General features: G+C 38.3%; 1 long non-coding RNA gene across 1 annotated transcript in view; it reads left to right on the top strand.

The window, feature by feature from the left end:
* The window catches only part of LOC105373294 (uncharacterized), a 28,332-nt gene extending 12,231 nt beyond the window's left edge, over positions 1–16,101 (top strand). Inside the window, exons 2-3 of the long non-coding RNA XR_938466.3 lie at positions 14,847–14,934; positions 15,443–16,101. This is a non-coding gene — a long non-coding RNA (uncharacterized LOC105373294). The remainder of the gene's footprint in view (positions 1–14,846; positions 14,935–15,442) is intronic.
* Positions 16,102–16,404: the final 303 nt, after the last annotated feature.

The following is a 16,404-nucleotide window of genomic DNA, read 5'->3' as shown; positions in this document are numbered from 1 at the left end:
GTTAACCATTGCAATTGTGGTTGGCCTCATGCCAAGAAAGAAATGTATAATAAATCATAAGAGACAAGATTAATGAGAAAGTCTTTGGAATAATCAGAAAATATAGTGGAGTTCTCAAAAACTAAGAATGGAAATTGAGTAGTTCCATATGAATGACATTTATACGGATAAATAGTATTTGGAAGGTATTAATTAGAAAATGTATCGATTTTACTTGCCTAAATTACAAACGTAGCATTTGGGTTGTCATAGTAATTTGAATACATTTGTTCTTTGAAATGATTTTTGATTATGCAATTGCAGAAGGCTTTTAACAATTTTTACCATGCATTTCCTAGGGGCCTTATGTCCACAGTTTCTTTAAAACAAAATTGTATTTTGCTTCTTATCTTTTTTATTACACTAAGACTAAAGTGCATTTTGTCACATTTTGTATAATATATTGTCTACAAATCTATCAGATAATGCATTTGTTAAATAGTTGACTTTTGCCATTATCTCAATAGATTAGAGTAGCTGTTCCCAACATTTTCAAGGATGAAGATTTCTTGTATGTATCAAAATACTTCTTGGAACAACTCCCCATTTACCCTTGCCACCAAGAAAATAGCTTTCCTTTTCTGTTTTTCTGTTATGATGTCATATATCTTCTATTAATTCAGTGTTATTTTAATGAATTTACATTTCATTAATAACCATAAAAGCACCTGCATATATTCAACAATAGTAGCACATATTATTATTCAGCTAGCAGATTCCTATATATATGGATTGGCAAAATCTTTGTAAGAACTGATTAGTCTCTCAGGCATCTATGGTACAGAGATTGGGAGCTCTTGGGTTAGAGCTTGATACCACTTAATTGCCACTTGATTGCTTTTGCTGATTTAATTCCCAAAGTGGTTCATGGGATTCTGCTCTCCAAATCTGACCCTGTCATTTTAGGTGGGCTATTACCAAAATGGTAGTAGTATGGTATAATGTTTTTGGCCACCCTCCTTTTGTTTCTCCTTTGAAGTTTGTTATGGGAGAGGGCTGGCCCAGATGGCCACTGATTAATGGGAAATGTGAGGGTTGGGTACTGTGTGTTTTGAGATGAAGCAGGGCATTTCCTGTCCAACTCATTAAAATGAGTTTAAAAAAGCAGGGATGGAGAGCCGAGTAAAATTCCGTAGAGAATAAGTTGGAGTTAAAACATTTAGAAAAGCACACACAAACACCAAGTCAAAGGATAGAATCAATATCAGGACTATTGAGCCAACTGTTCAAGAGTTGAGTTTGAAAAAGTCTAAAGTAACAACAGGAGTAAGTATGATACTGCTTTTTATTCATCTACTTTTGAAATTAATCCAGAACTGGCTGTTTGTTTTTAATAAATGGTGAAGGGCTAATTGGCTTACCATGCAGTGTTTTCCATTTGGTCTCCCACAGTATACTTCTCAGCTCTGTTTAGAAACTGGAAGGTTAGTTTGTTCAGTTTTTTATAACATAAAGCCATAATGTTGGTTTGGTTCTATCATAGGAAGCACGATAATGGGTGTTTAAACTACCAAATCCATCACCTGATCTGTCCATAAATCTCAAACCTGCATTTTATATAGTTTTTATAACACAAATTAAACAGTTTACCTTTTCTTACACTGTCTCCTATGGGTTTTCTTTCCCACAGAGAAACAATCTGTTTTCTATCTACAGGCTGTTTAAACAACTGCATCCAGCTGTCATGTGGCTATGTGAGGTTGGGCATAGGGAGATTCTATGTAAATGAGTGATCAGTTCTCTGATCCTTCTTCCCTGGCGTGGAAGCTGGGGAAAGCTCAGATGAGCTCCATAAGGCTGGAGTAGGACTTAGGAGCACAGCTCTACCATGGCTGTATATGTTGTGCCAAGGCATGAATACCAAACCATCCAAATGCCGAGGGGCAAACCTGGAGAAGTTAGTAAATGGGACTTTAGAGCAAGAAGGCCTATGTTACGTGAAGTTAAATAGATTTCTTTGCTACAAAAGTTATCATAGTATTTCATGTGCTAATATGAAATGTGACTCTCCTAGATGGAGATAGATTATGCTCTCTTTTCCAAATTTATTTGATCATTGACTCTTTGAATGTTTGTAAATATGTGGTAGAGTGGTTTTCTATTAATAATATCTTGCCAGGCCAGGCGTGAGCCATCACGTCTGTAATCCCAAGGCTTTGGGAGGCCGAGGCAGGAGGGTTGCTTAAGGCCAGGAGTCCCAGACAAGCCTGGGCGACATAGTGAGACCCTTTCTCTCCCCTCCCCCGCCAAAAAAAAAGGTCAGGCATGGTGGCGCATGCCTGTAGTCCCAACTACTCAGGAGGCTAATTTGGGAAGATCGCTTAAGCCCATGAGTTGGAGGCTGCAGTGAGCTATGACCACTTCTTTGCACTCCAGCCTGGGTAACAGAGCAAGACCCTGTCTCTAAAGAAAAAGAAAATAACAATATCATGCCAGACACTTGATCCATGGAACACAGTTTGAATGGAGAATGCTGCCGTAATAGAAATAAAATTTAAAACAAAAGTTCTGTTAACTGTGCAGTCATATTATTTTTGAATATGGAAAAGTGGATGTGTTTTGTAACACACAAAGCAAAAATAATGTAACTTAATTTGTTAAGGTCTGCGAAGTGATTAAGATGCATCAATAATCATATTAAAATGGAGATGGTTGGATTTGAGCCATTTTAGCAAATCTTAGATATTAGGGTGCTAAGATGGTGGCCAGAGTGGAAAGGACACCTTTTTGTCACCCTGGTCACCATGGTATGCTGTCAGTGCAAATAGAAACCCAAATCTAATTTCAAACAAAACCTAAGTAATAGCAGTGAGTTTCCATACAATTCTCTTTTTAAAGTCAAATTAAATCATTTCCTTGAAGTACCACAAATGTTATTTTCAATCCCCAAATTTTCCTTTTGTATTCAGTTCTCTCTCAGTAATAGCATTTTTTTCAGTACAAAGAAAATCTTATGTTTACATAAATGCACTGTCTAACGGTCCTGTTTACATCACTCACACCAATAGGTCTGGAGGTCCTTTTCCCGATGAGAGTTTACAAATGTCACAGCCTTCTTCTCTTCCCTCTGTTAACCTTTCAAGGACAAAATTCCTCTTAATTAAGAGTTTAACTTGTGAGGTGGTATGTTTCAGTTGTCTGAGTTAATGTCAGCCTTGGTAAGCTGAGACATCTGTTCAGAACACAGGTCACCCTCTCATCCAGCTAATTTATACTGCTAGAGATGGCTTCTACTTTTCTTTTCTAAGAAAGTCATAGTTGGCTGCAGGCAGACTTACCAGTTGAGAATATAATTTCATTAAGCCTGTCTCCACATTGCTTCCTTAGTATTTTGCAGGATGGAAGAAGGGGTAGCAGGCACAAATAGCTTCATATTAATGAACTGCCTTGAATAGGTTCTGGATTTGAGGGTCTATTTCCAGCCTCTAAAGAAGGCAAAAGGTCTGCTGCAACCCCAGTTTGATTTGAGGTGTGCTAGTAAGGGCCTCTACTCTTTCCAATGCTGGGCATAGTACCAGAATTTCCTCTGTTGGGGAATTTATTATACCTTTGAATCTTGTAGATTTCAGTTTCTCAAAAGATGTTTGCTAAAATGCAAATGCCCCAAGGAGAGGGGCATAATAAGGTTTTTTATCATCTAATAATTTAACTAATTTGAGTTTGACTTGCTTTGCAAATATGGCCCAAAGCAGGGGTGCATCCAGGTATTGTGGTACCTAATACTTAAACACTTTAGAGAAGGGATCTTTAAAAAAAGAATAAACATTGGCCAGGCGCGGTGGCTCACGCCTGTAATCCCAGCACTTTGGGAGGCTGAGGCAGGTGGATCATGAGGTCAGGAGAGCGAGACCATCCTGGCTAACACGGTGAAACCCCGCCTCTACCAAAAATACAAAAAATTATCCAGGCATGGTAGCAGGGGCCTGTAGTCCCAGCTACTCGGGAGGGTGAGGCAGGAGAATGGTGTGAACCCGGGAGGCGGAGCTTGCAGTGAGCCGAGATCGGGCCACTGTACCCCAGGCTGGGCGACGGAGCGAGACTCCGTCTCAAAAAAAATAAAAATAAAAAAAATAAACATTTACCAATAAAAAATTAGTGAAGATTCTTAGAAGGGACCTGGGCAAGTTGGGGGACCTAAAGCTTCATTAGTTTCATGGTAAGTCTGCCTGTGGGCTAGGGTAGTGATGAACAACCTTTAGGGTGCAGGGTGCATTAAATGTATGTGAGTGGTATGTTAAAAAATGTAGATTCTTGGGGCCCATGCTTCAAGATTCAGATTCAGTAGATCTGAGTTTGAGCCCTGGAACCTTGGAGCTTTTGTGGTCTGAGGTATCTACCTATATTTCACACTTTGAGAAACATGGTACAGCACAGAGAAGGCACCTGAGGGAAGGAGCAGGACCTTATTCTCCAGTGGATGGTTAAAGGTTTCAGTTATGCAAGATAAATAAATTCTGGAGATCTACTATACGGCATAGTGCCTGTAGCTGACAGTACTATATTGTATATTTAAAATTTGCTAAGAGGATAGATCTTAGTGATCTTACCAGAAGAAAACCTCCCCAAACAAATGAAAAACTCCACAGCACAATAATAATAAAGGAGCAGGGAGGAAACTTGGAGATAATGAATATTTTTATGGTCTTGATGGTGGTGATAGTTCCATGGGTATATATTTGTCCCCAAATTCATTGAGATGTAGACATTAAATATGTACAGCTTTTTATATGTCAATTCTACCTTGACAAAATGGTTAGAAAAATAGGAAGAAGAAGCCAGAGATAACTTTTAAAGAAGGCAATGGTCCTCATGGCTATGCGACTCTAGAGCCACATCCACAATCGCCATTCCTACTGCTTCTTCATGTCTTGTTCTTCTCTGCATGAAATATACACATTCTTTCACATGCCCACAAAATGAATATGTCACAAAATGCCTAAATTTAGTGAATTGACTTATTGCATCTATTTATTTTGCATATCCAGGACAATGCAAGAGAAAATGCAGGCTTTTTTCATAAAGAAGCATTTTCATTATTGAAAAGAGGACCTATATGTTATATGGTAGCCACATTTCTTGGAAAATTGCAAGAAGGACAGATGAGATCTTTGACATTAACCCTCTGCAAGGGTAGTCCTTTGCCCATATATAAAGGGGAGATGAATGTTTGGGCAGGAAGAGGGACAGAGGGGCAATGTGGCTGACTTGTGGTCCAAGATATACTCTTCCACTCTTGGGGGACTAAGATCAACAGAGAAATATTTCTGTTTAGCTGGTTTCATAGTAAGAACCACATATGATGAGAGACTGTAGTTACTATACTTTATTATCATATAATACTCTTATACACAAATATGAGCTGCATGCCAGAAAGTCTTTGTATTAGTCAAGATTCTCCAGAGAAACAGAGACAATAAGATTCTTTTCCTTAGGATATGTATGCATATAGAAAAATTTTTTTCTATATGCATACACATCCTATTAGGAAAAGAATTAACTCACATGATTATGGAGGATGGCAAGCCTAAAATTTAGAGTGTGGGCCAGCTGGATTGAGACCTAGGAGAGCTGATATTCCAGTTCCAGTAGGAAGGCTGGCAGCCTAGAGACCCAGGAAAGCTGATGGTGCACATAAAATCTGAAAGCAGTGTGCTGGATAATTCATTCTTGTTTGGGCAGGCCAGTCTTTTTGTTCTATTGAGGCCTTCAACGGATTGGAAGAGGCCCACCCACATTACAAGGATCAGTCTGCTTTATGCACAGTTCACTGATTTAAATGTTAACTTGATTCAGAAACACCTTCCAAGATGACACATACAATTAAACATCATAGTCATATAAGTCATGGTTTTCTCTATTTCATTGTGGAGGACACAATGTGTGGGGCAATGGGCCTCCTCTCAAGGCATCCACTGGAGCCAAGCACCTGCCATATGGAAACTTTCTATCATTGGCAGAGACCATCTGTTTTATTTTTGGGCATTCGGAAACCACCTAGCAAAAGAAGGTCCTAAACTCTTGAATGGTTTCTATTTCTGAGATTATATAATAAGCACTTGCATGCTTCCCATCACTCACAGTGCTGAGGGTGTCCATGAGACTATTTCCTAATTCCTACTTTTCCCCCAACCCAAGTATGATTTATCCTCCTTATCAATACAATGTCGCTTTATTTTCAGATTCGTCATTGTGCAGTTTATCACACTCCATGCTGTAATACAGGTAGTTCTGAATATGTTGTAGCCACCTGTCCTTCCTTCCCCCTCTCCCCACCACTAATTTATGAGCTACTTGAGAGCAGGTATTGTGGGTCACTTATCTTCATGTCCCTCATTACATCTAGCAATGAGCCTTGCTCACAGTAGGTGCTTAAACGGTATTGGTTGAAATTAGTTGGATTGCATTTGTGGGGCTCTAAAATAGTTCTGACCAGCGCTTACTTGAAGTAAATTGGAAAATAGTTTTCTCATAAACTATAGCCTGACAACCAGAGCCCTAGCATTTCAAATCTTGATCCTTGTGTTCCTGTAGCTCCTCCTAGTGGGAAGGTTGCAAAATTTCTTGGCTGCAGGATTACTGCAGCCGAGTTATTACTGCTAGAAACAACAGGAACCACCACCAAACGAAACATAAACCCTTTGTAGGAAATATATATAGTTTAAATTTTTACCTTTTTTAAGGTTTATAGCTGGGCCCAAAGTTTCTAAAAGGTCTATTCAGCCTCTGTGAGAAGCAACTGGGGTTATTTTCGGAGATGTAACCCATGGGTATTGATATACACCACGGCATTCCTTGGTAGCCAAGCATAGGGCTAAGATGAGAACTATTTGGCTACTTCTTAATATTTAAGTGGATGAGCAGCAAACATCTTTCTCCGTCTTCCTGAGCTCCATTCTGCAATTGCAGTGCAGCAGGACGACAGTGCATTTACTGTGGCATGCTGTTGGCCCCATGCACTTCCCCCTTTCCCCCATAGATCTCGGCAGTGCCTTCTGCTTTGGTCCTGACAGGTAGGTCAGTTGGTTTCAGTCTGCCTGGCTGATTTATGCTGCTTTAGGATCCCTTAAGCCTATGCTTCTGGTAGCCTGTACTTCAGATAAAAGTGTTTTTGATTTTTGCATTTCTCTATAGAAACCATAGCCTCTTTTCTTTAATCCCAATGTTTTCAGGGGATGTCTGGGCATTATGTATGCATGTTTAATGATTCATACTCCTAGGATTTTGAGTTTGTTTTTAACTGAACTGTATCTGTTCTCTTATAGAATTTTAGAAGTATTAAAAATAATGTAATAAGCCTTTGCAATGTCTGTTTTTAGGAGGTTGATTGCAGTAATTTTTTTAAACCAACTGATGCACAGTATACAGTACATTCCCCAAATCTGTTGTATATAGGGTAAAAAAATCTTCAAATGGAAAAATCTTCCTTCTTTGCTGTGAGCAAAATAATTAACTATTTGACCACTGATCCATACCAGTGAATGTGATGCCCCTTAGCTTTTCTGAGGTTATGCATAACTCTTGTCTATCCAGCTTCATAAACTGTGGAGTAGGCTTTCTGGAGACAAAGATCTGAGAGTGAACATTATAACATGAATCAGCCCTAGCTACAAATTTGATGTAGTGTTTGCTGGAATTGACAGCAAAAGACAACATTAATCCACATACTAGTGCAGCAGTGGTTTCATTTCATCCCTCTGCAACTACGTGACTTGGAATATATTTGTGTTTTCATTTTATTTCAGTGCCTTTGAGCATACAGTATGGTACCTTTTTTGAGCCATGACATAGGTTTGAAGCAATACAGTTTATACCTGTGCAGTACTCCTCATTAGAGAAGTGTTTCTCGGTTAAGATTGTTGTCTCTCTACCTGGAAACATAAAACATAAAGTCATACTGTAAGGATAAAGACTATCAATGTATGGTTGGCTCAGTTAACTGGAACCTCATGTTCACTCTTCTAGGTATATTCTGCTTTGTCAGAATCTCTTATGTGATCTTGGACAAGGTATATGATTTCATTTTCTACTCTTAGATTAATTATGTGGGATTTGATTGTATGTTGCTATATTTACCCTGGAGTTAAATATGTGTTCTCCTCTTCATTTAATCTAGTGATTTCACATTTGATTACCAAGAGATAATTAGAGATGGAAGTTCTGTGGTTGCTGGGAAACCAATCAACGATTTAAAAAATTTTGTTACAGATTATTATACCCACATATTTATTGGCAGAAGATAATAATTTAATAATTTAATTGGCAGAAGAAAAACTAGAAGTGGCATTTTTTTCAGGGAAAAAATCCTCAAATTGGCTAAATCTCTTCTATCACAAAGCTTTTTTAAGAATAATGGGGGAGTGAGGGAAACTTATAAACCACTGATTTCTTTACTCTTCTCTAGACACATATTTTTAACCCCAAGGCTCATCTGCAATTGATACCTGATATTTTTCTTATATACACACTTTTCAGTGTGTTGACAACAGTTTTAACAAAAAGTACATGTAAGTATATGTGCTATTATTAGTTTGTGTTAATGACTAAGCTACAATCACGCCCTGAACATTTTGTCAAGTTGTGTTTGAGGGGTCACTGGGTTCTCTCGTATGTTGAGAAGCTTTCTGGCCCAACTTAATTAGTACTTTTCAGAGAAAACAAGCCTGTTGGCCTGGATACTTACTCCATCTTTGGACAAGTGGAAGATTAGGGTCTTTGTCTAATTAACAGTTATCTACAGCACATAGCCTATAGGTGATAGCGTAAATTGCATGCTGAAAAATGCTACCTGAAAACAATGATCTAATATGGAATGACAGAGAGAGGGTCTTGGTACTTATCTCTATGAGTGTCTTTGGGGGCAAGGACAACTCCCTTTAATGCAGACTTTAAGGAGTTATGATTTCTCTGGGAGGAGTTGGGACAGGCCTAGGTTACTGCAGGTGATGGGGAGTATCTTACTACTTGCTGGATAAATACTTCTGTTTATCTCAGTCACAACCCTCAAATTTCCGTGGAGCAAGGAATTATCTTTAGAAAAGTATCCTAACTAGATCTTGCCTCTTTCTGGAAATCTCTTCCCAAAATAATTGCTTGACTTTCTCCTCACCTCCATCAGATGTTTCTTCACATGTCACCTTTACATTGAGGCCTTGTATACCATCCTATTTGAAATTTCAACCTGCCCCCCCCGCCCTCCCCCACACAAACAGACACACACACACACACACACACACACTTCATATCTCCTTCCCTGCTTTATTTTTTCTTTTTAGCATGCATTACTATGTAAAATATAAAATATTTTATTTTTTCTAAACTTGGTTATTGCTTGTATCCCCAACTAGAATGTAAGTTCCATGAAGGCAGGAATTTTTGTCTGTCATGTTCATTGTTGTAGTCCTGGTGCCTTGAATAGTCCCCTGGCATATTTAACAATGAAAAAATTGTTGAATGTATGAGTGAGGAAAAGGAAGGACAAAAAGGAAGGAAGAGGCACTCGGAAAGGCATTGATTCCAGACTCCAGAAGCTCTTTTCACTTTCAAAGTTAGGGCCAAAATGCTTCAGCCTTTTTTTCATTAAGGTAGAAATAATTTAGGGAATGCTATGCCTTCTCATTAATGGAGAGGACTGCAATCAAATAGAGCTATCTACTGTTAAATAGAGGGGGCTTCAATCAGTTGGGTTAGTGAAGAAGGAGAAAAGATATAATAAATCAGGCAGTGATGCCAAAGAGCATATTGGTCAGGGATGTTTTATATCTTGTTAAGTGAGGTAGAAGTGGGGATGTGGAGAAGAGATAGCATGACAATGAGGAAGGAGAGGGTGACAGAAGAGGAAGAGGTATAAAATATACAACTAAATCAATTTGGTTATAAGAACAAGTTTTTTCAGAGAAATTTATTTTCTTGCTTTTGACCATGTGTCATTTAATGATGGAGTTATGTATGCCCTGAGAAGTGCATTGTTAGGTGATTTTGTTGTGGTGCAAACAGTGTACTTACACAAACTTAGATGGTATAGTCTACTACACACTTAGGCTAGATATAGCCTAGTGTGCATAGTTGTATAGTGTGTATATCTATACCTAGATATAGGTGTAGTTTATTGCTCCTAGGCTGCAAACCTGTACAGCATGTTACTATACTGAACAATGAAGACAATTGTAAGATAATAGGATTTGTATATATAAACATAGAAAAAGTATAGTAAAAATATTGTGTAAAAGATAAAAAATGGTACATCTGTATAGGGTACTTACCAAGAATGGAGCTTGCAGGACTGGAAGTTGCTCTGAGTGAGTCAGTGAGTGAGTGGTGAGTGAATGTGATGACATCAGGACATTACCGTACACTACCGTAGACTTTAGGACATTACCGTACACTACCGTAGACTTTAGGACATTACTGTACACTACCGTAGACTTTAGGACATTACAGTACACTACCGTAGACTTTATAAATGCTTAGGCTATACACTAAATTTCCAAAAAATTTTTCTTTCTTCAATAATAAATTAACCTCAGCTTACTGCAGCTATTTTACTTTATAACCTTTAAATATTTGTAAACTTTTTTACTCTCTCTCTCTTTTTTTTTTCTTTTAGACGGAGTTTCACTCTTTTTGCCCAGGCTAGAGTGCAATGGCACCATCTCGGCTCACCACAAGCTCCACCTCCTGGGTTCAAGCGATTCTCCTGTCTCAGCCTCCCAAGTAGCTGGGATTACAGGCACCCGCCACCACGCCTGGCCAATTTTTGTATTTTTAGTAGAGATGGGGTTTCTCCATATTGGTCAGGCTGGTCTTGAACTCCTGACCTCAGGTGATTCGCCTGCCTTGGCCTCCCAAAGGGCTGGGATTACAGGCATAAGCCACCACCCTTGGCCAACTTTTTTACTCTTTTGTAATAAAACCTAGCCTAAAACACAAATACATCATACACCTTTACAAAAAAACCTTTCTTTATATCCTTATTCCAACAGCTTTTTTCCTATTTTTAATATTTTAATTTTTTTAAACTTTTAAAACTCTTTGTTAAAAATGAAGACACAAACACAGTAGCCGAGGCCTGCACAGGGTCAGGATCACCAATATCACTGTCTTCCCTCCATGTCATGTCCCACTGGAAGGTCTTCATGGGCAATATCATATCTCCTATGATAACAATGCCTTCTTCTGAAATACCTCCTGAAGGATCTGTGGCTGTTTTACAGTTAACTTTTTATTTTAATAAGTCAAAGGAATTCACTCTAAAATAATGATAAAAGTATAGTATAGTAAATACATAAACCAGTAACATAGTTGTTTATCGTTATCAAGTATTATGTACTATACATAATTGTATGTGCCACACTTATATGTGCCTGACAGTACATTAGGTTTGTTTACACCAGCACTACCATAAACATGTGAGTAATGCATTGCTCTTTGACATTAGGACAGCTACAATGTCACCAGGTGATAGGAATTTTCCAGCTCCATTATGATCTTACGGGACCAGTGTCCCATAAGATTATTCAATGTTGACAAAACATCATTATGCAGTGCATGACTACATAAGTTTTAGATATTAAAAGACTTATTTTTAACTTCAAAACATGAAACAGAAACTGCCGGGCATATGTTAGATTTTATTCTAGAAATGATGCTGTAAGCGAAAATATTTAAGTTAAAACTGACGTTTCCAATCAAATAATGTGGCCTTCCTAACCAAGAATCTGTTCCCACTCTTTTTGGAAATTACCATAGACACCATACTTCGTTAACTAAAATTATAAACTTGTATATTATAAAGACTTTTTAAAAAAGTGCATGTAAATTGATTAATCAACAATTTTAAAATTCATATGGAACCCAAAAAGAGCCTGCATAGCCAAAGCAAGACTAGGCAAAAAGAACAAATCTGGAGGCATTACACTACCTGATTTCAATCTGTACTATAAGGCCATAGTCACTAAAACAGCATGGTAACCTGGTATAAAAATAGGCACATAGACCAATGGAACAGAATAGAGAACCCAGAAATAAATCCAAATACTTACAGCCAACTGATCTTTGACAAAGTAAGCAAAACCATAAAGTGGGGAAAGGACACCCTTTTCAACAAATGGTGCTGGGAAAATTGGCTAGCCACATGTAGGAGAATAAAACTGGGTCCTCATCTCTCACCTTACGCAAAAATCAATTCAAATGGATAAGAACTTAAATCTAAGACCTGAAACGATAAAAATTCTAGGAGATAACACTGGAAAAACCTTCTAGACATGGGCTTAGGTAAGGATTTTATTACCAAGAACTCAAAAGCAAATGCAATGAAAACGAAGATAAACAGTTGTGACTTAATGAAACTAAAGAGCTTTTGCACGGGAAAAGGAACAGTCAGCAGAGTAAATGGACAACCCACAAAGAGGGAGGAAATCTTCACAATCTATACATCTGACCAAGGACTAATATCCAGAATCTACAACAAACTCAAACAAATCAGTAAAAAAACCCAAACAATCCCATCAAAAAGTGGGCTAAGGACATGAGTAGACAATTCTCAAAAGAAGATATACAAATGGCGAACAAACATATTAAAAAATGCTCAACATCACCAATGATCGGGGAAATGCAAATCAAAACTACAACGCAATGCCACCTTACTCCTGCAAGAATGACCATAATCAAAAAATCAAAAAGCAGTAGATGTTGGCATGGATGTGGTGATTAGGGAACACTTCTACGCTGCTGGTGGGAATGTAAACTAGTACAACCACTATGGAAAACAATGTGGAGATTCCTTAAAGAACTAAAAGTAGAACTACTATTTGATCCAGCAATCCCACTACTGGGTATCTACCCAGAGGAAAAGAAATTGTTATACGAAAAATATACTTGCACACGTATGTTTATAGCAGCTCAATTCGCAGTTGCAAAAACGTGGAACCAACCCACATGCCCATCAATCAATGAGTGGATAAAGAAACTACGGTATATATACCTGATGGAATACTACTCAGCCATAAAAAGGAATGAATTAACGGTATTCACAGCAACCTGGATGAGATTGGAGACTATTCTAAGTGTAGGAACTCAGGAATGGAAAATCAAACATTGTATGTTCTCACTGATATGTGGGAGCTAAGCTATGAGGGCACAAAGGCATAGGAATGATACAATGGACTTTGGGGACTTGATGGAAAGGATGGGAGGGGGACGAGGGATAAAAGACTACAAATAGGGTTCACTGTATACTACTCAGGTGATGGGTGCACCAAAATCTCACAAATCACCACTAAAGAACTTACTCATGTAACCAAATACCACCTGTACTCCAATAACTTATGGAAAAATAAAAAAGAATAATATAGAAAATTGTGTTTAGTAATACAATTATAGTTCTCAGCTTACTCTTTATAATTTCCACTTTATTTTGATGACAAAATAAATCAGAATTGGAAGTAATATCTTCATTAGAATAGATTCATTCAGATATTCTGCCTAGGGGAGATTTTCATAGGCATTTTTAAAGAAGTGTTTTGGGGGTTACCTAGGGACATTTGATAATTTCTTAGGAGACAATCATAGAAGCCGCTGCTTTTTTGCTAATGCAAATTGCCATGTAGCAAATAATTTCTTTTCTCCTCTGCTGCCTTCAAACAGAAAGGCTAAGTTGAGCTCCCATCTCATCAGTACTAGCCGTTTCATTCACATCCTGATGTTATGCAAGGGCAGACCTTATGAACAAACCTTGATTTGCACTGAAATTTTCATCCTTTGATACCTTACCATGTTCCTGCTTCTCACTGTCAGAAAACCTCAAAGCCTTGGCTTGGCCATACTTAAAGTTACACAGGGCTGAACTTGATCCCAAATCCACAGAAAAAAACCCTTTCCATCTTATGTACAAGTTCTGCATGTGGTCATTTAGTGGTAGATTGCAACTGTCACTAGGATACTAGTTTTTCTTTTTAGAAGCAATCTTAAGGTTTGAGTACAATCATGTAACAATACTTCTTTTGTGACAAATGTGCCATAACTTCTATATTTAAATGAGTATTTTCCTTAAAAGTAATCACACTGGGACAAGATAATCACTTAAATAATATTGCCATAGTTCAAATGTTTTTTAAACCTCTATTAAACTGCTTTTGGAGATAGTTTATGAGCAACACAAAACACAATAAAACCAGTCTTATTACTTTATAGTAACAGAAGTCTCTTGGTCCCTTATTCTCACCACTCACCTTATTATTTCTTTGTATTTCTCATCCTTTCAACAATCAATGTATATCAACCATGCATTAGGTTCTGGGGATGCCATGGTGGATCAGCCTCTTTCATATTGTCTAGCAAGGAGAGTGAAGATATGGGCCCCTCTGCAAGCAGATTGAGACGTATGAGGAAAAGAAATGTACCTTGTTTACTTCTCTATCTTTAGCACCTAACATGGTGACTGGCATATAGGCACTGAATTGATAATTGATTAATAATTTAGTTAGTGGGTTATTAGCTTTAAATGCCTTAAGTTGATAATATGGGAACAGTGGCTGGATCATTGGAAATTGATATACTGTGATTTGAAAACTGCCAACATAATAACAAGGAAGAAGTGTTCTAATTACACACTTTGTTGTCAGAAACTTTGTTGTTACAGGTAGAAATAAAATAGGGGATAATGCTATGTGCTTCAGAAACTCACAAAATATATCCACTGATCTTCTTCTTGCTTTCAAGTATGGTGTGATGTAGTTCATGTCTAATTCCATTGCTGTAAAGGAATACCTGAGGCTGGGTAATTTATAAAGAAAAGAATTTATTTATCTTAGGGTTCTGCAGGATATACACGAAGTATGGCACCAACATCTGCTTCTGGTGAAGGCTTCATGAAGCTTCCACCCATGACAGAAGGCGAAGGTGAGCAGGCATCACATGGCGAAAGAGGAGGAGGAGAGAGGGGAGGTGCCAGGATCTTTTTAACAATGTGATCTCCTGGGAACTAATAGAGCTAGAACTCACTCATTATCATGAGGATAGCACTAAGACATTCATGGGGGATCCACCTCCATAACCCAAACAACTCCCACCTGCCCCCACCTCCAACATTGGGGATCACATTTCAGTGTGAGATATGGAGGGGACAAGTATCCAAATTGCATCAGCTCTTGGAACAGATACTGTGATGGCTCACCGAATATGTGCTCCCTACTATCCTTCCACTTTCTAACAGAGCCCAGATTTTGTCCAGGTATCAATTCTTCTTGATGGGGCTGACCCCATTTCAGACCATAGGGGATGGGTCCTAACTGATGTAAGAGAGGTCCTGGTAGTCCTGTTCTCCTTGCCAAAGATTGATTGGTTTAGGCACAAGTACATGACCCAACTCCAGAAAGGTTTCTGGGAAATGTTTCTTCATTTTCCTCAGAACTGTTGCCAGCATCATGCTACAAGCCTGAAGGGAAGGTCTACTGACAGAGAAGGACAGAGACCAGGGAAACACAGAAAAGGAGAGACAAAGCCTTGACATACCAAACCAGTGCCTGGCCTACCTATGGACTTCTCAGTATGTGAGATTTAAAACACTGTATTTTATTTTATTTATTTATTTATTGTTATTATTATTATTATACTTAAAGTTTTAGGGTACATGTGCACAACATGCAGGTTTGTTACATATGTATACATGTGCCATGTTAGTGTGCTGCACCCATTAACTTGTCATTTAGCATTAGGTATATCTCCTAATGCTATCCCTCCCCCCTCCCCCCACCCCACAACAGTCCCTGGTGTGTGATGTTCCCCTTCCTGTGTCCATGTGTTCTCATTGTTCAATTCCCACCTACGAGTGAGAACATGCGGTGTTTGGTTTTTTGTCCTTGCGCTAGTTTGCTGAGAATGATGGTTTCCAGCTTCATCCATGTCCCTACAAAGGACATGAACTCTTCCTTTTTAATGGCTGCATAGTATTCCATGGTGTATATGTGCCACATTTTCTTAATCCAGTTTATCATTGTTGGACATTTGGGTTAGTTCCAAGTCTTTGCTATTGTGAATAGTGCCGCAATAAACATACATGTGCATGTGTCTTTATAGCAGCATGATTTATAATCCTTTGGGTATATACCCAGTAATGGGATGGCTGGGTCAAATGGTATTTCTAGTTCTAGATCCCTGAGGAATCGCCACACCGACTTCCACAATGGTTGAACGGATGTGGAGAAATAGAAAACACTTTATTTTAAAGTTCTGTTTTATTCAGGGTTTTCTGTTACTTGTGGCCAAAAGCAACCTAACTTGGGTCTCTTGACTTGAATTGTGGTGTCTGTCCTTCCTTCTCTGACAGATAGCACGTGCACAGTGATAAGGAGGCTATAAACAATGACTAGG

The sequence above is a fragment of the Homo sapiens genome, chromosome X (genome assembly GCF_000001405.40).
Source record: "Homo sapiens chromosome X, GRCh38.p14 Primary Assembly".
Lineage (NCBI taxonomy): Eukaryota > Metazoa > Chordata > Mammalia > Primates > Hominidae > Homo > Homo sapiens.
This window is presented reverse-complemented; position numbering and strand designations above follow the sequence as displayed.